The following is a 24,046-nucleotide window of genomic DNA, read 5'->3' on the forward strand; positions in this document are numbered from 1 at the left end:
CGGAAGCTGCAGTGAGCCAAGATCGCATCACTGCACTCAAGCCTGGGTGGCAGAGAGAGACTCCCATCTCAAAAAAAAAAGGTAAGGACTCCTGAAGAAAAGGCATTTCTTTTCCTTGGAAAGGCTGATTCGTTTGGGAAGTTTTTAGAGATCCTCATATACAATGAATTTCCTTTTTCCAGCATCCTCACAAGTTCTGCCTGAGATTTCTCGCAAACAAGTAATCCAAACTGAAAGTCAACTCAAAAGAAGGACTTGACCATTACTTTCCACCTACTCATACATCTGAAGGAAATTCAAAGCTGTGGCCTGCTTTGCTCAGTAGGATCACATTTTTTTTCTGGAAAAATCAAAAGCCAGGGTTCCCCCCAAAGTAACATTCAAATATGCAAATGATTTTCTCCATATGGGGTCAGATTCCGTATTTACAAGAATCAACAATGACATTAACCAAGATCCCAACACAGCTCCCCAAGCCCAAGATCAGGTATTTTATTTTCCTAGAACTCCCAGTTCAGTACAAACTTCTGTATAGAGCAGGTATTCAACAGTGATTGACGACACTTATCTAATCTGGTAATCATCTACATTTGTATCACTGCCACCATCACCACCCGCTGCCACTCTACCTTCATTAGGTCTTGCCAGTCATTCCAGGAGTTAAACTTAAAATTTATCTTTAAAAAAAAGCTCTATGCAGAAGACAAGAATTACACAACATTTATTTGTACTTCTCTTCTACGTGTTCTTTACGGAGCTCGTGTATGTCACCCCTCATTAAATCACATACACCCTAGAACAGACCAGGAGGCTTGGATGCCCTCCTTTCTGTCCTCTCATCCACACTAAGAGGATCCCCACAACCGTGTCCAAGATCTCCAATCAACATGGCATCTCCAGGCCTAGCCCCAAAACCCCTACTCTTAAGTTACACCTTGGAAAGAAAGTTGCTACAAAGCCTGGCAAAAGAATTCCCAGTCACTTGGCCCCAGGAAGAATGACACCAATGTATCTGCCCCACCCCTCCAAAGGTGCTTGGCTGAGATGTGGCAGGTGCACAACACTGGGAATGTACTAAATGACAGGGAATAGTTTACTTTAAAATGGCTTTTTCATATTATGTGACTTTCACTCAATAGGAGGAAGAGGAGGAGGAAGATGAGGAAGAAAAGCAGCATCAGTCATCAGGGCTTGACTCATTAAGCCACATCACCCAAAAGGCAGAATGGCACACGCACAACAGAAACCTCCAGAGAGTAGTCTTAACATGACTCCAGTTTCCCTGCCTCCTCGCCCTTCTCCCAAGCATGCTTGTTCAGATTTGCAAAAGTGAAAGAAACCATTTGCAATAGGCTGGGTGCTGGGGGCTGTCGGTCTAGGGCAGGACATCCCTTCCTTTTTTGTTTTTTTTTTTTTTCCCCCAGATGGAGTCTTGTTTTGTCGCCCAGGTTGGAGTATAGCGGCGCAATCTCAGCTCACTGCAACCTCCGCCTCTTGGGTTCAAGTGATTCTCCTGCCTCAGCCTCCCAAGTAGCTGGGATTACAGGCACACACCACCACACCTGGCTAATTTTTGTATTTTTAGTAGAGATGAGGGTTCACCGCATTGGCCAACCTGTTCTCGAACTCCTGACCTCAAGTGATCCACCTCCTCAGCCTCCCAAAGTGATGTGATTACAGGTGTGAGCCATCACGCCTGACCCATACCTTCCTAAGATGGGTGAAACAGGCTCCAAACTCACAATGTCCCTGCAAGCCCACCAGCAGTAACCCGATGCCTCTGTCTTCCTCTGCCCACATTCTTCTCCTGCTCCAACGTGCACTTTTTAGACTCTTTGCTTCTATAAATTTACAGCAAAAGAAAAAAACTTGTTGGTGATAGCTTTTCATTAAATTTACTCTTTTAATAAACAAAGCCCCAGTATTTTCAGCTAAGAGATTGAGGAAGGAAAAATGTTCTGAAGGATTTAGTGCCAAAAATAAAAATAACTCAGAATGTTTCCTTCTTGGTCTCCAGAAATAAGTCAGCCCTGCTAGCAGTGGATTCTGGGAACTGTTATCCACGCAGCCACCATCATATAGAGTACACATGCAATCATCTCTGCATTACGCCAGCCACCCTTCCATGACCTTCCAGGAACTCACACCAGCAGGTGTAACCTGTACACACTTTCCGGGAACCACTGAAAACATCTTCCTTCCTGCACCTATTCCACCTCCACCATCAGACCTCACGCTCCTCACCATCTATATGCTCCCCACTATAGAATGTTGGCTGGGCATGGTGGCTCACGCCTGTAATCCCACTTTGGGAGGCTGAGGCGGGCGGATCACCTGAGGTCAGGAGTTTGAGATCAGCCTGGCCACCATGGTGAAACGCTGTCTCTACTAAAAATACAAAAATTAGTCAGGCGTGGTGGCAGTTGCCTGTAATCCCAGCTACTCGAGAGGCTGAGACAGGAGAATCACTTGAACTTAGGCAGGAGAATTGAGCCACTGCACTCCAACCTGGTGACAGAGTAAGACTCCGTCTCAAAAAAAAAAAAAAAAAAAGAAAGCAGCAGCCAGTGAACCATCAGCTTTGGGAGGTTGGAGTATTCACTGCCTCAAGGCCAGGTGGTAGAAGGCTTTCTGTGGCCAGCTCCTGCATTAAATGCACATTTGCATCCTGCTGCTAAGTGCCCCTTGCCCACTCTTCCCCCATTTCTGTAAGAATTAGGCGGTAGATATGGAAGGCAGGAATATGTATACCAGAAAAACCACATGGGACAATGACAATGGCTTCCTTTAAAATGCATAAAGATAAAGAACATCACAGGCCGAGCATGGTGGCTCACACCTGTAATCCCAGCACTCTGGGAGGCCAAAGCGGGCAGACCACCTGAGGTCAGGAGTTCGAGACCAGCCTCACTAACATAGTGAAACCCCCATCTCTACTAAAAAAAAACACACACAAAAATTAGCTGGGGGTGGTGGTATGTGCCTGTAATCCCAGCTACGTGGGAGGCTGGGGCAGGAGAATCACTTGAACCCAGGAGGTGGAGGTTGCAGTGAGCTCAGATAGTGGCACTGCACTCCAGCCTGGAGACAGAGCGAGACTCAGTCTCAAAACAAACAAACAAACAAACAAACAAAATATCATAAACAACCAAAAAAGCACTTGCCAGGCATCAATTAAGAAATAGCCGTGCGTGGTGGCACACGCCTGTAATCCCAGCTACTCAGGAGGCTGAGGCAGAAGAATCACTTGAACCCGGGAAGCAGACGTTGCAGTGAGCTGAGATCGCGCCATTGCACTCCACCCTGGGCGACAGAGTGAGACTCCATCTCAAAAAAATAAATAAAATAAAATAAAAATGAGAGTTTGAGTTCTTTCAAAATAACCAACCTGCTCTGACCCCTTCTACCTGATCTGCCCTGTGCCAGGCATTGCACAGCTTCATTCATGCTAGAGCAGCCTTGGAGAAGGCAGGCCAAACAGGGGTTCCTAATCCCTCCCTGCTGAAGTGAAGGCTGCCAGCCCCCAGAAGAAGGTAAACCTGACAACCACCCCCCAGCAATTAATGTTGCAATCAGAAAAGCTGAACCAGGCTGGGTGCGGTGGCTCATGCCTGTAATCCCAGCACTTTGGGAGGCCGAGGAGGGAGGATCATCTGAGGTCAGGAGTTTGAGACCAGCCTGGCCAACATGGTGAAACCCTGTGTCTACTAAAAATACAAAAATTAGCCAGGCATGGTGGTGCACCCCTGTAGTCCCAGCTATTCAGGAGGCTGGAGCAGGAGGATCACTTGGACCCAGGAGGTGGAGGTTGCAGTGAGCCATGACTGTGCCACTGCACTCCAGCCTGGGCGCCAGAGCAAGACTCCGTCTCAAAACAAAAACAAAAAGAAAAGAAAAGAAAAGCTGAACCAGAGAGGACTGAGACCTGAGCCTACCTGATGTGCTTTCCACAAAGACTGGAAACACAAAGCAGACCTCCATCCCCAGGGAACAGGGACGCCAAGGCTGCCAGAGACAAGAGAGGGCAGTACTGGGCCTGCACCCACCCGCTGGTTTTCAAAACAAAACAAAACAAAATCAGCAGGCATTCTGATGCCCTAATGGATGGATGGTCAGGTGTCCTTAATCAAAAAGGGCTCCCATGGGCCAGGCGCAGTGGCTCATGCCTGTAATCCCAGCACTTTGGGCAGCCAAGGTGGGTGGATCACGTGAGGTCAGGAGTTCAAGACGAGCCTGGCCAACATGGTGAAACCTCGTTTCTACTAAAATTACAAAAATTAGCTGGGCGTGGTGGTGCATGCCTGTAATCCCAGCTACTCGGGAGGCTGAGGCAGGAGAATCACTTGAACCCAGGAGGTGGAGGTTGCAATGAGCTCAGACAGCGCCACTACACTCCAGCCTGGGCAACAGAGCGAGACTCAGTCTCAAAAAAAAAAAAAAAAAAAAAAAAGAAAGGGCTCCCATGGATAGAAGCAAGTTAATAGGTAGATGAGAAGAAAAACAGAAATGTCCAATTCCTCCTTTCCCCACTCATTCCCCTCCTATAATACAGAGTTAAAGCCCCTCACCTCTTCACGGACAAAGGGGAATAACCTCAGAGTATGACATAAAATATCCACTAAATAAAAAATACTGGTTGGGTATGGTGGCTCACGCCTCTAATCCCAACATTTTGGGAGGCTGAGTGGGGAGGACCATTTGAGGCCAGGAGATCAAGACCAGCTTGGGCAACATAAAAAGGCCCTATCTCTATTTCACAAACACACACACACACACACACACACACACACACACACACACAAAAAGAAAAAAAAAATTAAAGAAAAAATACTTTAGGAAATTCTAAACTACTTGTGCAGAGATGGACTTAAGAGTCTATTCCAGGGTTTAAAGAAGAGGCACCTAATATTTAAAATAATTCAAATACTCCAAAGGCCTTTCTAGCCTTCTAGAACTCTATTCTGCACAGTATTTGTTTATCCTAGTGCCTGATTAAGGTTTTGATTTTTACATAAAACAAAGTCCCAGGGAGTTCAGAGGCCTATTCATAAAAAGAAAAGCCAAGAAGCATCAATATTAATAAAGCTTAACCAAAGAGATATTGAAAAACCTTTGTAAAATTAAAAACAATGACTAATTCAATCCAAACAACTAGGTCATGCTCAAATTCCAGTAATTCTAAAACTTAGATATAATAAGGCAAGAATTTTGCTTTGCTTCAGTGGTCAAAATGAAGGACCCATTCAAGGGTAAGACCAGTCATAGACGCACAATGGGAATGCTGGAGGAACACTGTGAGGGGGAGGGAGTTGGGAAGCTAAACAAAGCCAGATAATCATTACAATACTACCTGGGATTTTCACTGAGTGTGTGAATAACAAAGAAAAAGAGATAGTTCTCAGGCAGGGCATGGTGGCTCAAGCCTATAATCCCAGCACTTTGGAAGGCTGAGGCAGGCAGACTTTGAGACCAGCCTGAGCAACACAGCGAAACCCTGTCTCTACAAAACAACACAAAAATTAGCCAGGCATGGTAGGGTGTTTCTGGAGTCCCAGCTACTCAGGAGGCTGAAGTAGGAGGATCATCACCTGAGCCCAAGAGGTCGAGGCTGCAGTAAGCCATTATTGCCCCAATGCATTCCAACCTCGGTGACAGAGTGAGACCCTGCCCCCACCCCCCCAAAAAAAAAGTTATTTCTCACAAAAAGACCAAACTATCATTCAGCAAACATCTGAGAGGCTCTGCAGAAGCTACTAAGTCTCGGGTGTGTCTCTGGCTCAGAAGCAGCAAGTGAACAACCTAATCAAAGATATATCATGACGCAACCAAACACCAACAAAACAAGTCAAATATGCTGTGTTGTCGGAGAGGTACACTCCGTGTGCAAGAAACTGAGGGACAGAAGACATTTGGCATGAGATACAAAAAGGCATCAAGTTACTGAGTAAATGAAAGACAGTAAAGCTAAAGAAAGCCACATAACTCATTCTGTCTACTGATTTGGGTTGCTTTCTCCTTATTTTTTAAAATGACCTTAAATAATTTGGAGAGTAGGATATTTAGTGAAAATCTGCAGTCAATGCAAGTTTAACTCACTAAGACACACTCTTCCAATTCAAAAACACAGTATTCACTCATCTGCTTAAAAGGAATATCAAAGCACTTGAATCTTGCTGCAGGCCCGTGTCCTAACCACCACATCTTAATGTACCCTCACTCAACTTCAAGAGTACCAACTCTTTGAGTTTAGAGGTCATACTGGTAGAACAGAATAAAAGCATAAACAAATATCCCACAAGAAGAAACTTGCTCTAAGACAAGTATACAGGACCAACCAATGAGAAGGAAAACAGCAAAAGGAAGGGAATCCTGGCTACCAGCTATGGGCAGCAAGTCTGCAAAAAAGAAAGGGTACCTGCAGGAAGCAGGTAAAGACTTTCTTTTCGGAGCCAGGGTCTTGCCCTGTCGCCCAGGCTGGAGCGCAGTGGCACAATCTCAGCTCACTGCAACCTCCGCCTCCCAAGTTCAAGGGATTCTCGTGCCTCATTCTTCCCAGGAGCTGGGATTACAGGCATGAGCCACCATGCCCAGCTAATTTTTTTGTATTTTTTGTAGAGATGGGGTTTCACCAGGTTGACCAGGCTAGGATGTTGGCCAGGATGGAGAAAGCAGGTCAAGACTTTCACAGTGACATTTAGGCTTCATCATAGGCCATCTCCGAGTTTCCAAAAGAATCTCCTGTCACTCAACCCATTTGTCTTAAATAAGATGTCTTAAAAAGATAATCACGTTGTCAGATTACCTATTTTAAATAAGACAAATAGGTCTTCTCTCTGACAATGTGATTTATTTTTACAAAAAACTATGAAACTAGTGATTGCTGGATGTGCATTTTCCAATCATTTCTTTTTTTTTTTTTAAGAGACAGGGTCAGAGTGCAATGGCACAATCATAGTTCACTGCAACCTCAAACTCCCATGCTCAAGTGATTGTCCCACCTCAGCCCCCCAACTAGCTGGGACCACAAGTGTGCACGCTTAGCTGATTTTTATTTTTTATTTTTTTTTGTAGACACGGAGTCTGGCTACATTACTCAGGCTGGTCTCGAACTCCTTGACCCAAGTGATCCTCCTGCCTCAGCCTCCCAAAGCAAAGGGATTACAGCCCTGAGCCACTGCACGCTGCCCATTACTTTTCTTGTATAAACCAAAATAAGAAAAGAGAAATTTACCATTATACTTCCCGTGGTCAACTACAGTAGGGCAGCTCAGGCCAGAAAATCCAACAGGACAAGGCCAAAATAGGCTTTTCACATAAAAATACTTTAAAAGATATTAGTGCAACTTTATACATTTTTTCTGTATAAAATCAAGAGAGACAGTAATTTACTATTTACTTTTACTGTAACATCCCAAAGTTAAGAAAATTCAAAGTCCAACTTTTTCAGCGTTGCATATAAAATTGTTATAGTTTATAGGACAACTTAACGCTTTTATAAAACATAAAAGTAAACAATTTTTAATGTCCCCAGAAGCAAAATGACTTCTTAAAAAGACAAAGGTGGCCAAGCCTAGTGGCTCACGCTTATAATCCCAGCACTTTGCGAGACTGAGGTGGGTGGATCATCTGAGGTCAGGAGTTCAAGACCAGCCTGGCCAACCTGGCGAAACCCCCGCCTCTACTAAAAATACAAAAATTAGCCAGGTGTGGTGGCGCATGCCTCTAATTCCAGCTACTTGGGAGGCTGAGGCAGGAGAATCGCTTGAATCCAGGAGGCAGAGGTTGCAGTGAGTCAAGATCACTCCACTGCACTCCAGCCTGGGCAACAGAGCAAGACTCCATCTCAAAAACAAACAAACAAACAAAAAAACATGAAAAGGCAAAGGCTGCCAATAGATTCAAAGGGTTTCTGCTGAATTAATATATATTTTAATAATCTAGGGATTCAATGAATCTATTTTTAATGTATGCTCTACTTAAACACTCAACATAATTCTGTTCCCACATTTAGCTTTTATTTCTAACTCATTATTTTAACTTTTACCAAATCTTTCGTAACTGTAACAATTACTAACAAATGATGGCTATCACAGAAAAATACAGAAGAGGAAAATGTTTTTTGCATCTTCTTAATGTAACGAGAAATGTACTATAATCATGTTTTCTACTATTCTATACCCTCTGCTACTTTTGAAAAACAACACAATTCAAAAAAAAACAAAAAGACTATAAGACAAAAATATGTACGTTGGTGTATATATACATATATATTTTATATGTACATATTTTATAATTATATGTATATGTATATATTTTATAATCGTGCTCTAAAAACAACTGATGATTTATTCCTATTCAATCTATAAGATAATTTTACAATTTTTCAATCATTTGTTTTCCACATTGAAAAAAAATCTCTTCCTTATAGCCTGGATTGCAAAACCAGGTGTGCCTCATTTGAAAGGCAAATAGACAACACAAGACAAGGGGCTTGTTTCTGCATCTCAGTACAAGCTTGTCTGTGGAATTTATGACTGGTAAAAATTAAACATAAAGAGCTGACGTTAGCAAAAAAAACAAAAAAAAAAAAAAAAAAACCTCCAGCCTCGCCCCTAACTCCTCAAAGTTCTTAGAAGATCTTTACTTGCTCAATAACCTATGTCTCTCCTTTTGTTGTTAATAACATTCGTTTTTATTACTTTGGATTAAGAATGGCTTCAGGTTGCTCCTTCAGTAAACTACCCTGTAAATGCGTAACTCCCAGTCACTTTATTCCATTTGGTATCACAATAAAGAAGTATCTTGCTTCCATGAATAACACACAATGACAAATATAAAACAAACTGAAGAGTCTACCAAGTCATGGAGTGTGACAAGATTCCAGATAAACATACAGAATGGATGTCTCAGTTGACTGGTAACTGAATACGCTGGCTTTTTTCATGCTTAAGAATTAAATTCAACCTAGATCCAGGGCAACGGAAAGATGTCACCTTCGGAAATATTGGTATTCAATTCCTTCCTGATACTATTACCAGCTGCATTCTTGTTGTCCCTCTCTGACCAGGACAAAGATCAGAGTGGGACGCAGTCTTCCATTTCATCACCCCTCCGGGTCCCCTGGGGGTGGGGACCCAGGTGAGAAACGTGCAAGGATGCTATTGTTCTGTCTGGTTTGTGCTTAGGACACTTGGAATGTTGTTAACCACCTGCTCCACAAAAAAACAAAAAACAAAACACACACACACACACACACACAAAAACAGTTGTTTAAAGAACTACAAAGGATGAGGAAATGGACACGTTCCCAACTAAAAACTAGTTTGATACCAATTAACCAGGCTCAAAAGAAAAAAATCCCATATAAGTAAAACGCAAAACTTATGGAGACAGTAAAAAGATCTGTGGTTGCCGGGGTTGGGGGGAATGAATTGGCAGAGCACAGAGGATTTTTAAAGCAGTAGAACTACTCTGTATGATACTATAATGGGGGATACAGGTCATTGGACATTTGTCCAAACCCACAGAATGCCCAACACAGAGTAAACCCTGTGTAAACTATGACCTTTGGCTGGTACTGATGTGTCACTGCAGGTTTATCAACTGAAACAAATGTACTGCTCTGGTGGGAGATGTTGACGTTGGTGAAGCTACGCATGTGGGGAAGGGGATATATGGGAAATCTCTGTACCTTCTGTTCAGTTTTGCTATAAACTTAAAACTGCTCTAAGAAAAAAAAAAAAGTCTTCAAAAAAAAAAAAAACAAAAAACCCCAGACAACTAGTCCTGGAATTCTTCCACTTGCTTATGATGGTTTAAAAAAAGAAAACGAAAAAAAAGTCTACTGGAAAACACTCTCCAGAAAACTCTTAGCTTTCTGTCCCTTCCGTCTCAATTATTAAGCACTGCCAGAAAGCTTCATTTGCTTAACACTTACCAAAAAACAAACCTTAAGACGTCTATAAAACTCGAAACTGCCAGGAAATTCCCGAGGAAACGCCCCTCAAAGATTTCAGTCATCTATCTTCCATGTCCCTGAGTGGGCGGAGGGGAGCAGCAGCCCCAGGATTTAGTCATGCATTACAGTCTGAAATTTCTGTCTTTACTCATCCATTGTTCACTCCAATTACAAAAGATTTTCTCTGGAATTTCTTAAGAAAAGTGAGCAGTAATTTTTACTTTCTAATTACATTCTGAATGTAAGCAGAGTGCTTAAATGCTTGAGGGGATGGATACCGCATTTTACAATCTGATTTCTATGCATTGCATGCCTGTATCAAAACATCTCATGCACCCCACAAATATACAAACCTATGTACTCACGAAAATTTAAGTTTTTTAAAAAATTGTGACACTGGACACTTGAAACTCAAACTCATCTACCCCTTTGAGACGTGTCTAATGAACACTTTAGCCAACGATCAGTAAGAGGCTAACATCGGACACTGTCCAGAATCTATCTGTTCAACCACCTGAAATTTCCTTCCACCAAATGTGGGCTACATCGACAAGAGGGGAAAGGAGATGGCAAATGTTGTGACTGGAACCCATTTTGGAAGTCTGAGTCTGTTAGGAGAGGATGACACTTGTGACTGCATTTCATAAGGCTCAGGTACTTACTACCTTTTGCTCATCTCCAAATCTCCCTGTGTTTCCCTTACGAAGCTTTCCTGGAGAACCCGTGAAGTTAAACAAACATTCTGCCAAATGACAACCAAGTATCTCCAAAAACATATCTTACAGCATACCACAGAAGAACTTCTCCCTCTCTCCACTTACCTGGAAAAGCATGTGGATTGGGCGATCCTCTCTTAAGGCACTTAGAACAGAGAATGTGCACGGTGTAGTGCAGTCCAGGCCATTCCTGAAGTAGGACATTCAGTTCCTCCACCAAGGGGGTTATGGCTTGCCATGCGGTCCATATATTTGGTAATGATGCATGGCTAGCAATGGACAGGGTGTCTGGCTGCAGGACTCCCCTGGCAGGTCTGTAACTCACAACCACAGGAACTTTCCCTCTATAGGCAAAGATCTGAAATTTACCATCCGACCTGTGCACCACATGGCTGTTGATCTGGACACTGTAGCGTGCAAACAACCCAAGTGGAAAAGTAAAAGGAAAGCTATATTCAATCTGCAACTGCTCAGCCACAAAAGACTGCCCAGCTAGGTTGGTCCCATTAATCCAGGCTTCTGCATGGGGCACCTCGTTCTGCACATAGCATGGGAACTTGTACCAAGCTGTGGACCCATTCAAAGGCTTGCCCTTGGGTTTATTGAGGCAGTAACAGAGTCCCATCTTCTCCAGCAGCTCCAGCAACAGCTGCAAGTCCTGCTGGGCCTGGACATGAGGCTTAAGCAGCAACCGAATGACATGAGCTGGCAAGAGCCCATGCAACAGAAAGCCCTCCACATACTGATGGAGCTGGGTGGCCCGGAGCAGTTCCTGGCTGGGGGTGGACCGCGCCATGGGCGGGGAGCTTTCCCCCTCCGCCTTGCCCTCTCCACTGGTCCCTAGGAGCAGCTTATGCAGCAGCAAAGAGGGATCCCTCTGGAAGAAGACATTGAGGATGTCGATGAGGCGGGTGAGGTTGTGGAAGACGTGCTCCTTGAGAGCCGGACTGTCCTCAAAGTAGAGTAGCTTGCCGCTCTCATGCAGGTAGGAGAGGGCACTCTGCAGTCGGTCCTCGGTCAGACCCGCCTGCAGGCCCAAGCGCGCCGAGTCCCACCAGCTTAGCCACAGTCGCTGGGCCTGAGGTGGCTGGAAATGCAGTTCCTCCAGCACCTGCCAGGATCGAGGCAGTACTCTGTGTAAGTTGGGGAAGATCTCTCGGTGCTCAGCAACTGACAGCAACTTGTCCCGAAGGCGTCGTAAGTGGCGCGGGTCCCTGCAGCTAACAGGCAACACGGGGGAGAGGATCTGCAGCCGGTGGTTGAGCAGGTATTGAAAATGGGCCTTGCGCCGTCGAAGGTTCTTGTCCGAAACGCCATAGTAGGCTGCGTGGGGGCTGGCAGAGCGCAGCTCGAAGTCCCGGGCCAGTGCCTCGTCCACCACCTTGGCCAAGCGGCTCAGTCCCTCCGCGTCGTGCTTCTCCTGCAGGGCGATCTGGCGGTGAATGTCCAGACATTTCTCCTCCAGCTCACGCTCTCCGCACAGGTCTGCGTGGGTGCCCACGATGCACACCACCGCGTGGGGCACTCTCGCCCCGACCCGATGCAAGAAGGAGCCCACGGTGGTAGGAAAGTGGCGAGGCTCATAGGTGGCCAAGTTGACCACCAGCACGTATAGGGCCCCTGGGGACAGGAAGAAGGGCTGGATCACCTCATAACTTTCATCCCCAGCTAAGTCATACACGATGAACCGCAGGCCCCGGGAGGCATCGGCCGTCCAGCTGGTCACCTCGATGCCCTTGCTCACAGGGGGAGGTGACGGTGGGTAGCACTTCTCCTTGTCCCCTCCTCCTGGGCATCCCTCCACTCTCTCCTCGGTGAGGCAGTGGCGCAGCAAAGTCTTTCCTGCAGCCTTATGCCCCATCAGGAGCAGCTTGAGCCGGGGCTGCACCGCCGGCTGGGAATGAGCCAGTTCCTTCTGGTAGGCTGCGATGTAGGGGATCCCCTTCATGCAGACCTCGTAGGGGGGCTGGATCAGTGGGTTGTCTTTGATCTTCCACAAACCCACCCGGGAGAGCTGGCCAAAGTGGTCGGGCAGCACCGCGATCTGGTTCCCCTGCAGCACGAGCTCCTCCAGGCCGGTCAGCTCCACGATGGAGTCCGGCAGGTAGCGGATGCGGTTATTATCCAGCCACAAGGTGAGAAGCCGGCCCAGGCCCGAGATAAGGGATGGCACCGAGGTGAGCTGGTTGCGACTAAGGTAGAGCTCCTCCAGACCAGCCAGGGGCAGCAGCGCGGCAGGGAACTCCTCGAAGAGGTTGGAGGAGAGGTTGAGCATTTTGAGCCGCTGCAGGCAGCTGAACTGGGCGGGCAGAGCCTGCAGCCCGTTGTTGTCTAGCATGAGGCTCTCCAAACTGGCCAGCTCGCAGAAGCCGGCGGGCAGCGTGCCAAGCTCGGCCCCACTCAGCCAGAGGATCTTGAGGGCACGCAGGGCACTGATATCCTCAGGCAGGCCCCGCAGCCGGTTGCTGGACACGTCCAGCTCCTCCAGGGCCACCAGCTGCAGCAGCTGCCGGGGGAAGGCAGTGAGCTGGTTGTGATCCACGTCCAGGGTGCGCAGGCGGGAGAGGCAGGAGAGGGAGTCAGGCAGGTGCGCCAGCCGGTTAAAGCTGACATCCAGCTCCTCCAGGTGAGCGAGAGCGCCCAGCTGGGCGGGCAGGGCGGGCAGCTGGTTGTGGCTGAGGTTGAGCTTCCGCAGCTCCCTCAGAGCACTCACCACCTCCGCGCCCAGGGCGGTCAGCCGGTTGTGGCTCACGTCCAGCTCGGTGAGGTGGTGGCCGAGCTCGGCCACCGCCGGGGGCAGCCGGGCGAAGCGGTTCCTGCGCAGGACCAGGACGCGCAGGCTGCCCAGCGCCGACCCCAGCCCCTCGGGTACCTCCTCCAGGCCGTTGTTCCCCAGGTTCAGTGCCTCAATGTCCCCGAGGTTGGCCGGCAGCACGAGCTGGGGGGAGGCGGGGGACTCGAGCGCGTCGGCCCCGGCCCCGGGGCAGGCCCCGGCGGCGGTAAGCGTGAGCTGGCGCAGGTTGCTCCGCAGCTTCCTGGCACGCAGGGCGGCGTCCCGCCACAGCCTCGCGGTCTTCAGGTTGCCACTGTCCATCCCAGCCATGGCGGGGCCCCGGGCCGACAGCCTCACGCGGACGCGGGAGCCCGCAGCTACATGCCGCGCCGCGCCCCGGGCCCTCCGGCTCCTGCCCCTGCCTGCCCTCCCGCGCTCGGCGGCCGGCGGCCGCGGGTCCTAGCGCAGCCAGCGGCCGAGCGCTGGCGGCTAGGGGGCGGCGGCGACGCGAGCGGCTCCGGGGGACGCCGAGCGCGTGGAGAGCAGCTTGCATTCTCCCTGCGGCCGGGCCATGGGCGCGCCGGGCAGCAGGGCCGCCGCCCGCGCGCCGCGGAGGATGCCTGCTCCTCCTCCCTCTCCGCCCGCCGCGCGGCGCCTCGGGGGGCCCGGCTCCGGCCCCGCTACCCTCGCAGCCGCGGTCCCGCGGCCGGCAGCGGCGTCGCCTCCTCGAGCTCCTGGGGGAGGGCGGCGCTCGGCCCGGCGGCGGGCATGCTGCGGGCGCAGGGCTGGGGCGCAGCCGCGGGGAGGGGGCGGCGGCGCCTCCTTGTCTCCGTTTCCCCGGGCTCGGGCGGGAGCGCGGGCGCCGCGTCCCCGGCGCTGGGAGGGCGCGATTGGGAAGCGGCAGCGCCGCCCGCCGGAGCGGCCCCCACGTGACCGGCGGAGGCGCCGCGTTTTCCCGGCACCGCCCCGGGGGCGGGAGCTGCGGAGGGCGCCGGGTGCGGGGCCGGGGGCGCCTGGCGCGGGGCCGGGTCCGCGCCCCGGACCATGCTGGGCGGGGAGGTCGTCCCAGCGGCGGATGTGGGGCTCCGGGGCCCCCCTGGTGGGTTCGCCCGCGCCTGGCTCTTTGTTGGCCCCCAGTCTCTAAGGATTTCTTTTTCTTGTTCTCTAATGCGTCGGATCCGCCGGCTTCCCTTACTCATCCTTTACCTGCTCCCCTGCCGCTCGCCTTGCATCCACGCCGTAGTGGAACTGGCACAACTCGGGGGCCCTGGGTATCATCATAGAAGCTTAGGACAAGAGTGTGGTTAAACAAAATTAGAACAGGCAACCATTCATTCATTTGGTAAATATTTCCTGAGGCCCTATTTCGTGTTGAACATGGGACAGGAGTAATGCAGGCTGGTCAGAGGAGAATAAAAAATACCAGGCAGCAGTTTCACTTGACTGGAGGCTATGGGCTGATAAGACCCTGAAAACCAGGGTGTGTACCAAGCTGGCTAAGACCGGCTGGACCCGACGTGGTCCTGGATTTGACCTAGGTTTCTCCTAGGCCTCCATTATACGCTCTTTAACATCCTAAGTCACACCAGTGCCATGACAATTCCGGGGACACCCATATTTGAAGTAAAAATGGGTGGCACCACAGTCCCGAAAAATCTCCACACTTTTCCAGGAATTTTCATGAATATTTCACCCCTTGGTTAAAGAAACCCATAAAGGTAGCAGCCCCAAGCCCCGTTGTGAGTGACCCTCTCCACAATCCCTTTTCCTGGGTGTGTACTTTTCCCTTTGCAATAAATCTGCATATTGTCACTATTTTCTGAGTTGTCCTTGAACTCATTCTCTGGATGTGTCAAGAGCCTGGACATTGGCTGGGGTCAAGGTCGCACTGGCTTTAGAGGATCTCCCCCAGCCCACCCGTACCAGAACTACTAAAAGACGGTTTTAACCCCCCTGGGGAAGGCTTTTGAGCAGGTGGCCCGCCAGCCTAAAGGAGGGTTGTTAAGATGGGGGGGACACAAGCTGTTTATCTGGGGTATCCCGTTTATCTTCACAACAACGCTGTGAAACAAATACTGTATCCCCATTAATACAGTACCTGTTGTTCTGCGGACTCAAGAAAACAGCTATTTTGGGAAACAGTCACAGTCCATTGTTCAACTCTAATGCTTATTTTTATTGCTGTTAGGAAATGTTTCTTTGAGCTCACATCTATGCTAAGTCAATAATTTCTCCCGAACTTATGAAAGTCTGGAAACCTACCAAGACTCCCAGTGTCACCTCCATCATTCCCTTCAGGTTGATTGATAAGGAAGCAAATAGTTTTCAGGGACCGAAAACTGCGTTCAGTTGGTTAAAGGCATCACTTGACCCACTGCAGCTCTCCCCGACATGCGCTATGGCTGTCATTTGGGGACCCATATTTGGTGCAGTAACGTGAGAAGTGTGTGTTTCCAAAAAGAGCACCTGAACATCTGAGGCTGGAAATCCACCCCAGTGATGGTTATCAGGCTGCAGGTAGTACATGCTGTAACTGGAGGATGTTCCCCAGTTCTGCTGGGTCCCTGAGGCTCTGACACCACAGATGAAATGTGAGTAAGTGAACAGCAAGAGCTGATCTGTGTTCACTCTGAAGGACTTCCGAGAGTTCAGATGGCTCAGGGTAGCCCCACCCACACTCCCTCCCAGAGACAGTCAATTTTACAACAAATATTCTGAGTTATCTAGGCTGACCCTTTTTTTCCCCCACAGAGGAGGAAATGGGCTCAAAGTAAGTGACTTCTCAATCAGCCATCAAAGTAGAGTAGAGGCAGGACTGCTAACTCCCCGTGTGGAATGTATTCCCCTGTGATCATCACCTGTACTCACACTGTTCTTGAGCCAGACCCCAAATTCTCCATCCTGCAGCTTCTTCTAACAAAAATATGAACTCAGCCTGGGTAAGGAGACTGGAGTAGGCATCACCATCCTACACCACCTTACATGATTATATCTCAATAACTGCTAACTGTTCCTCTTTAGAAGCCATCAGAAAATTATACTTCCTCCTGCAGAAGCTGAAATCAATTGAAAAAAATGAAAATTGTGCTTGCTTCAGCAGCACATATACTAAAATTGGAAAAATACAGAGAGGATTAGCATGGCCCTGCACAAAGATGACATGCAAATTCATGGTGTTCATTTATTTAATAATATTTTCATTTAAAAAATTATTTTAAAAAAGAAAAATGGCCGGACATGGCATCTCATGCCTGTAATCTCAGCACTTTGGGAGGCCGAGGTGGTGGATCAGTTGAGGTTAGGAGCTCAAGACCAGCCTGGCCAACATGTCAAAACCCCATCTCTACTAAAAATACAAAAATTAGCCAGGCATAGTGGTGCGCACCTTTAGTCCCCAGCTACTCAGGAGGCTGAGGCACGAGAGTTGCTCGAAACCAGAAGGCGGAGGTTGCAGTCAGCCAAGATCACACCACTGCACTCCAGCCTGGGTGACAGAGTGAGACTTTTTCTCTGAAGAAAATTATATTTTCCTTTCTTTTCTTTCTTTCTTTTTTTTTTTTTTTTCTGGAGATGGGGGTCTTGCTTTGTTGCCCATGCTGGACTCGAACTCCTGGGCTCAAGCAGTCTTTTTGCCTGAGCCTCCTGAGTAGCTGGGATTATAGGCATAAGCCACCCTGACCAGCTTATACTTCTATTTTAAATGTCCTTGGAAAACTGCACTCTTCATTTGTCAGGAGATCATCTATAATTTGCTTTATCTAATAAAAAGTACTGGCTAGGACCCTGCGCTAGGGGCTTCAAGCCCCACTAAAGCCCCAAAGCCTGGAGTGAATAAGTGTGCTGGGGGTGGCAATTCTTTGTGAGCCCCTCAGCTGATGCAGTCAATATAGTAGGAAGCCTTGTAAGAATCCTTGTCTATGAGTTCTTTGAAAGTCAGTATGTGAATGGGCACAGGGGTATATGCCTGTAATCCCAGCACTTCCAGAGGCTGAGGCGAGCAGATCATTTGAGCTCAGGAGTTCGAGACCAGCCTGTGCAACAAGGCAAGACATCATCTCTACAAAAAATACAAAAATTAGTAGGGTGTGGTGGCGCACACCTGTAGTCCCAGCTACTCAGGAGTGACGCGGGAAGATCACTTGAGGCTGGGAAGTGGAGGCGGCAGTGAGCCAAGACTGCACCACTGTACTCCAGCCTGGGAAACAGAGTGAGACTCTGTCTCAAAATACAACACAACACAACAAAAGAAAGTCAGTATGCTAAAAACTAGAAAGTCAAATGATAAAAGATAACTCAATGATAAAAGAAAACTCTATGAAAAGATATTGTGTTCCATATAGCTTTAAAATTTTTTTTTCTTTGTGCTTTCCACTTTCAAAGAAACTGCTTCGTAAAGAACTATAGAAATGATTCCTGGGCTGGGTGCAGTGGCTCACACCTGTAATCCCAGCAGTTTGGGAGGCCGAGGCGGGCAGATCACAAGGTCAGGAGTTCGAGACCAGCCTGGCCAACGTGGTGAAACCTCATCTCTACTAAAAATACAAAAATTAGCTGGGCATGGTGGTGGGTGCCTGTAGTCTCAGCTACTCAGGAGGCTGAGGCAGGAGAATCGCGTGGACCCGGGAGGCAGAGGTCACAGTGAGCCGAGATCATGCCACTGCACTCCAGCCTGGGCAACAGAGCAAGATTCCATCTCAGAAAGAAAAAAGAAAGAAAGAAAGAGGATTCATGAAAGTATCATCTTTTCTGTTTTTTCATTGAGACAGGGTCTGCTTATGTTGCCCGGGCTGATCTCGAACTCCTGTGCTCAAGTGATCCTCTCAAGTATCAACCCAGGCAAGGACTCCTGCCGTGGGCACCTAACCTGGCCCTCCTCTCACCATGCTGTACCCCGTGTGGTTAAGTTTCTGATGGGCCAAGGGGGCACGCCCCCTCCACCTTCTAGAACACACATGGTATGGAGGACCCTGAATTCCCAATGCAAATAGCCTCAAGCCTGGATGGGGAGCGTGGGGCAGTCTTTCATAGTCATTCGAAAGAAGTTATTGAGGTGGGCATCCCTAGACCTGGGGGTTGTGCAGGAGCTGGACCTCAGCTGTGTGCCGACGAAGCTCCTCTCTGTGCTGGATGTAGCCCAGGCTAGGGCAAGGAGTGTGAATGTGCCACATCTGTTAGGGTGATGTAACACATTTAGATATTTAGGCATGTGGCATGTGGGCCTTCCCGTGTACCCTTTCCCCAGGCCCTGCAAAGGATAAGCGTGGCCCTGCAAATGGTAGGGTTTTTCTAAAAGCAAAAACAACAACAACATTGTTTGGAGAAGAGGAACTCTATTATATAAAGTTTTCTTTCCTTAGAGGTCTATCCAATGTCATGAATCTAATCTATAAACTTTCCAAAACCTTTTCAGCTTAAGCCTTTTAATATATCCTGTTTTCTGACTCTTAGATTGTTTTCTCTTTCGCTGCTGCCTTATGATGGCAAGAGCATTCCATACACATTGGCTTTGTTCCAGAGTCTAGACCCTGTCTGCAAGAGCAGAGTCATTCAGGAGAGTGGAGAGTACATGGAAAGAGGTTGTGTCTTGAGTGAGGCCTTGAAACATGGCTGTTTAGAAGGGAGAATCCTAGATGCTCCAGATAAGCGTCTTTTGTCAAGAACAGTCTGGATTGGCAATGTGTGATGGCTCACGACTGTAATCCCAACACTTTGGGAGGTAGAGGTGGGCGGATCACTTGAGGTCAGGAGTTCAAGACCAGCCTGGCCAACACGGTGACACCCCCTCTCTACTAAAAATACAAAAAAAAAAAAATTAGCCAGACGTGGTGATGCACTCCTGTAATCCTAGCTACTCAGGAGGCTGAGGCAGGAGGATCACTTGAACCCAGGAGGCAGAGGTCACAGTGAGCCGAGATCGTGCCACTGCACTCCAGCCTGGACGACAGAGCGAGACGCTGTCTCAAAAAAAAAAAAGTCTGAATAGAGGTGGGCAAGAGTAGTTTGTTCCTATCCTTTGCTAAAACTATCAACAAGCCCCAAGTAAGCTTTCATCCTAGTTTCTTTTGCTGTGTCTTCAGCATATTCAATCAACCTTCTTCCATCTTGACAGATTTCTCTCAACCTTGCTAATGCCCTAGCTACTGTCTGACTACTTTACTTCCTTTCTCTGTCAAATATCTTCCATAATTGGTCCACGCTAGTCTGACTCCTCTCCCCTGGCTCCCTCCTTGGGCCAGTCCAGGAATCTGGTTTCCATCCCCACCATGCTGATGAGCCTTTCCCTCTTAAGGGTCAACTCACCCTTTCTCCTCCTTGACCTCCCATCGCTGAAAATGTTAAACAACTTCCTTTGGAAACTTTTTCCTTTCTTGGCCTATAGGATATTTGGTGTCACTTTAAGGTTTGGGTTTTCAAAAGGAGTCCCTATAAAGGCTAATTATTTCCTTATAGGGATCAAGTTTGCAATTAGAATAAGTGCTACCAAACGAAGCACTATAACTACGTGGGCAGAGTGGCCAGGATTTGCCTAGATAATGATAGCTTCTTAGGAGGATATTTAGTCAGTATGGTTTTTCCACTTAAATTTATATTATTCTATTTCTATTAAAGATGCATTTTGAAAATCATATGAGCACCCTTTTCCATTGAATTTTAATTTAATCTATCACAACTTAATCAAGTCTTGATTTTAAGGTGACAAAATGCTCCAATGTGCACAAGACTGAGGGGTCTCTCAGGATAGGAGACATTCTGTTCTTAAAACTAGGGTAATCTTAGGAAACTAGTACAATTTGTTAACTGACTTGGTCTTTAAAACAAACCCTTTAACTTACTCTCCCTTTACCCTTCAGGAGTTCAGAAAGCACAGCTTCCAGGAAATGTAGCACATTTTCAGCTGCTTTAGTTCTGATTTAGACTTTGTTCTGATTTCATTTACCTAGTTGTTCACTACCTTAGAAGACAGGATATTCATGGGCTGGAGGTTCCAGCTGACTTTGGAGTATGAAAATTACCTGTCTAGTCTTGAAAGAAAATTTGGCAATCACTTAACCCTTCCACACAAATGAGACCCAGGGCTGGGTTAAACATCTCATGAGAAAATGAACTGAGTTTTCTCCTTGAAGTCTGGAGAAGCTGAAGATATGCTGCCTGTATCATGAAAAGGGGCAAAGGGTTTCCCACATTTCTCCTTTCTTGTAATTTTAGGTCGTGTTTTGCTTTAAATAAATGACAGCAACAACAATGCTTCCTCCTATGTGGCTAAAGGCAACTAAGAGAAAATCTCACCTTTGAGATTTTAATTAGGCCACACCCTTCTTGGCTTGTCTTTGGAGGAGATAGAAGTGGAAAAAGTCAAGAGAAAAACAGACAGAGGAAAAGGAAGAAATATTTATTTATTTATGTATGTATTTATTTGAGACAGAGTCTTGCTCTGTTGCCCAGGCTGGAGTGCAGTGCCGTGATCTAGGCTCATTGCAATATCTGCCTCCCCAGTTGAAGAGATTCTCCTGCCTCACCCTCCCTAGTAGCTGGGACTACAAGCACACACCATCAAGCCCGGCTAATTTTTGTATTTTTTAGTAGAGACAGGGTTTCACCATGTTGGCCAGGCTGGTCTCGAACTCCTGACCTCAAGTGATCCACCTGCCTCAGCCTCCCAACGTGCTGGGGATTACAGGTGTGAGCCACTGCACCCGGCCAGGAAGAGATAGCCCTTCGAAAGGTGTTAGGCTTGGTCCAAAGCAGGGGATTAGAAATAAAGTCTTAAAAATGGACATCAAACAGTTTTGTCAAACGAGGTCTTGGTGATCATGGCATTCTCTCCTGCCACTGGGCATCACTCAATGGGAAATCTCAGAATAATCACGAGTCATGATAGCTAACATCTCTTAAAAGTTTTCCATGCACCCAGGCACTGTGTTGTGTGCTTTTCATGCAATATTTCATTTAATCTTCACAACAGCCCTGAATAGTAGGTTCCATTAGCCTCATTTACAGATGGAGAAAAATGAAAGCAGAGCTACTGAGTGGCAAAATTCACTCAAAACAAAGCAGACTGTAAAATTCATGTATTTAATCACGGTGCTAATTCTTCAGGGGTCAGGAGGGTGGAGGAGATTGGTTCTTAACTGACCTGGAACAGACTGTGTATTTTAAGCTGTAGAAAAGAGGGAAAGAGGTACCAGCTGGAGACAGGGCTGCCACCCAGTCTTCAGTAGAAATTGAACTGAGCTCTTACAAAATTGAAGAATATTATATTGGGCAATCCAAAGCTCTAAACACAGTGTCCCCAACTACAAGAACTGGGCTGAACAACTATTCATAAATGTCACTGCAGGAAACCAACAGAATGTCTATGCTAATTGTAGATCAGCTGTGTTTGTTCAATTTGCTAGTTTTACACAGAAAGGGTTTAATAACAATGACCGTAAATCTACACTCCAATTAGAGGGTGTTTCAGACTTCATATTTTGACTGCATTTTTTGAAAAAAGATGGAAGATGAATTTATTAAGCTCAGATTAGATACAAAGAATCTGACCCCTTTTGTTTGGATTTTTTAAAATTTTATTTAAAAAATATATAAAACATACCTCACCCCTCTTTCCTAAATTTAATAAATCTGCCTTGGACTCATGTGATTTGAAAGCAAGCCAGTTCTGATCAGCAATGGCTAAGAAGCCTGAGAATTGCCACTTAACTACAAGCGTGGAGCATAAAGTATGTGTTCAAGACACTGACTCCTCCAGAGAGCAAAGGCAAAACTATACCCAGACGACTGTTGTTTTTTCTTTCCCTTGCTCTCCAGAAAACTCATTTATCTTGGAATGAGCAACATTACATTTAACATTGGATCTCTTTGTGTTTCCAGGTCAAGTGGGAACACACACGCTCCCTACTGGGGAAAATAAACTGTAATGTATTTTTAGCATCCGTTGAAAGTACTTTCAGCTGAAGATATTCCACAGGACCCAGGCCATTTCCCTGCAAGCCAAAGGATTTGCCTCGACGTCACCTAGAATTCCAGAACTTTTCCTGGGGGTCCCAGAGTAGCAGTGTCCCCTCCCAACCCCCAACTGCCCACCGAATCCTGGAGAAAACATCCTCTTTCTGAGAAAAACAAGGAAAATTAGTCCAGTGAAAGACCAACGGAAAATATCTGTGAAATAGTCATGACACATGAGGCTAACTGTAGCATACTTGGCATTTTGAAATGAAGCATGTCCAGGAGGAGGGGAGAGGGAGAATGGGTTGCAGAGAGGATGTCCCTATCATCCCCCGCTTCGTGTCTATTGCTAACGGCAAGCATTGGACAGGGAGACACTCTATTGTGGGGCTTTTCAAAAGGGGCCTGTATTAGTCCGTTTTCACACTGCTGGTGAAGACATACCTGAGACTGGGAAGAAAAATAGGTTTAATGAACTCACAGTTCCACGTGGCTGGGGAGGCCTTCACGATCATGGCAGAAGGCAAGGAGGAGTAAGTCACGTCTTACATGGATGGCAGCAGGCAAAAAGAGAGAGCTTGTGCAGGAGAACTCCCCTTATAAAACCATCAGATATCATGAGACTTCTTCACTGTCACAAGAACAGTATGGGAAAGACCTGCCCCCATGATTCAATTACCTCCCACCAGGTCCCTCCCATAGCGTGTGGAAATTCAAGATGAGATTTGGGTGGGGACACAGTCAAACCATATCAGGGCCTGTATGGTGCCTCAGTGAAAGGGAGAGCAATGCATCACTCTCCACAGACCCAACCATGCTCCTAGGCATGGTGAGTGAAGTTTAGGTGCTTTTGTCTTCCATGCCTTCTTCCAAGGGTGTGTGTGCACAGCATAAGCTGTGTAGCCCTGGGAATGGAGTTTCAGTTACCAGTCTGAACTATAATGAGATGCAGTCACAGTGAGATAAATGGTTTAAGACCTTGCTTCCGTCCACAAGGCTTTGAAATATTTTTCATATTTAAAAATAAATGTACTAGTACCTACCTTTTAAATAAACGACCCAGGGATATTGGGCCCTCCTTTTTGAACATCGTAGTTCCAAAATTTCAGAAAACTCTACAATGACCTAACACATACTATAAAGCGTAGCATTGAAAATGTAAAGTCCAGCCCAGCATGGTGGCTCATGCCTGTAATCCAACCACTATGGGAGGCCAAGGTGGTCAAATCACTTGAGGTCAGGAGTTCGAGACCAGCCTGGCAAACATGGTGAAATCTCGTCTCTACAAAAAATACAAAAATTAGCCAGGCATGATGGCAAAAGCCTGTAATCCCAGCTACTCAGGAGGCTGAGGCTCAACAATTGCTTGAACCTGGGAGGTGGCGGTTACAGTGAGCCAAGATCATGCCACTGCACTCCAGCCTAAGAAACGGACAGACTCTGTCTCAAAAAAAACTAGGGAAAAAAAAATGTTAAGTCCTACCAAATTAGTGTAACTATTGTTATTAATATTAATATTATTATTGAAGACAGACTAAACTTTGACTTTTTTTCTTCTCTTGCCCAAATTCCTACCCTAGGGGCCTGGGGAGTCACGGCCTACAAACCATAAAATCTCATCAGAGAGGTTATATTTAACCCTATATAATGTGG

General features: G+C 47.2%; 1 protein-coding gene and 1 pseudogene across 3 annotated transcripts in view, besides 8 other annotated features; one reads left to right on the plus strand and one right to left on the minus strand.

The window, feature by feature from the left end:
- Window positions 1-14,349, minus strand: part of MFHAS1 (multifunctional ROCO family signaling regulator 1) — a 110,277-nt gene extending 95,928 nt beyond the window's left edge. For all 3 annotated transcript variants that reach the window (NM_004225.3, XM_047422419.1, XM_011543852.4), the window contains exon 1: window positions 10,780-14,349. In NM_004225.3, the coding sequence (NP_004216.2) occupies window positions 10,780-13,777 (2,998 nt within the window). In that variant the 5' untranslated portion in view covers window positions 13,778-14,349. The remainder of the gene's footprint in view (window positions 1-10,779) is intronic.
- Window positions 5,037-6,011: an enhancer, noted in NCBI's record as "OCT4-NANOG-H3K27ac-H3K4me1 hESC enhancer chr8:8741828-8742802 (GRCh37/hg19 assembly coordinates)". NCBI's record gives its function as "activates a minimal SCP1, AML or CMV promoter by ChIP-STARR-seq in naive H9 embryonic stem cells {active_cell/tissue: H9 hESC(naive)}" and the evidence as "EXISTENCE:reporter gene assay evidence [ECO:0000049][PMID:30033119]".
- Window positions 10,849-11,809: an enhancer, noted in NCBI's record as "H3K27ac-H3K4me1 hESC enhancer chr8:8747640-8748600 (GRCh37/hg19 assembly coordinates)". NCBI's record gives its function as "activates a minimal SCP1, AML or CMV promoter by ChIP-STARR-seq in primed H9 embryonic stem cells {active_cell/tissue: H9 hESC(primed)}" and the evidence as "EXISTENCE:reporter gene assay evidence [ECO:0000049][PMID:30033119]".
- Window positions 11,810-12,769: an enhancer, noted in NCBI's record as "H3K27ac-H3K4me1 hESC enhancer chr8:8748601-8749560 (GRCh37/hg19 assembly coordinates)". NCBI's record gives its function as "activates a minimal SCP1, AML or CMV promoter by ChIP-STARR-seq in naive H9 embryonic stem cells {active_cell/tissue: H9 hESC(naive)}" and the evidence as "EXISTENCE:reporter gene assay evidence [ECO:0000049][PMID:30033119]".
- Window positions 12,770-13,730: an enhancer, noted in NCBI's record as "H3K27ac-H3K4me1 hESC enhancer chr8:8749561-8750521 (GRCh37/hg19 assembly coordinates)". NCBI's record gives its function as "activates a minimal SCP1, AML or CMV promoter by ChIP-STARR-seq in naive H9 embryonic stem cells {active_cell/tissue: H9 hESC(naive)}" and the evidence as "EXISTENCE:reporter gene assay evidence [ECO:0000049][PMID:30033119]".
- Window positions 12,770-13,844: a biological region, named in NCBI's record as "H3K27ac-H3K4me1 hESC enhancer GRCh37_chr8:8749561-8750521".
- Window positions 13,575-13,844: a silencer, noted in NCBI's record as "silent region_18902". NCBI's record gives its function as "represses an Ori minimal core promoter by ATAC-STARR-seq in GM12878 lymphoblastoid cells {active_cell/tissue: GM12878}" and the evidence as "EXISTENCE:reporter gene assay evidence [ECO:0000049][PMID:35858748]".
- Window positions 13,955-14,234: a silencer, noted in NCBI's record as "silent region_18903". NCBI's record gives its function as "represses an Ori minimal core promoter by ATAC-STARR-seq in GM12878 lymphoblastoid cells {active_cell/tissue: GM12878}" and the evidence as "EXISTENCE:reporter gene assay evidence [ECO:0000049][PMID:35858748]".
- Window positions 14,245-14,494: a silencer, noted in NCBI's record as "silent region_18904". NCBI's record gives its function as "represses an Ori minimal core promoter by ATAC-STARR-seq in GM12878 lymphoblastoid cells {active_cell/tissue: GM12878}" and the evidence as "EXISTENCE:reporter gene assay evidence [ECO:0000049][PMID:35858748]".
- RNU6-682P (RNA, U6 small nuclear 682, pseudogene) lies at window positions 16,532-16,637 on the plus strand (annotated as a pseudogene).

The sequence above is a fragment of the Homo sapiens genome, chromosome 8, assembly GCF_000001405.40.
Source record: "Homo sapiens chromosome 8, GRCh38.p14 Primary Assembly".
NCBI lineage: Eukaryota > Metazoa > Chordata > Mammalia > Primates > Hominidae > Homo > Homo sapiens.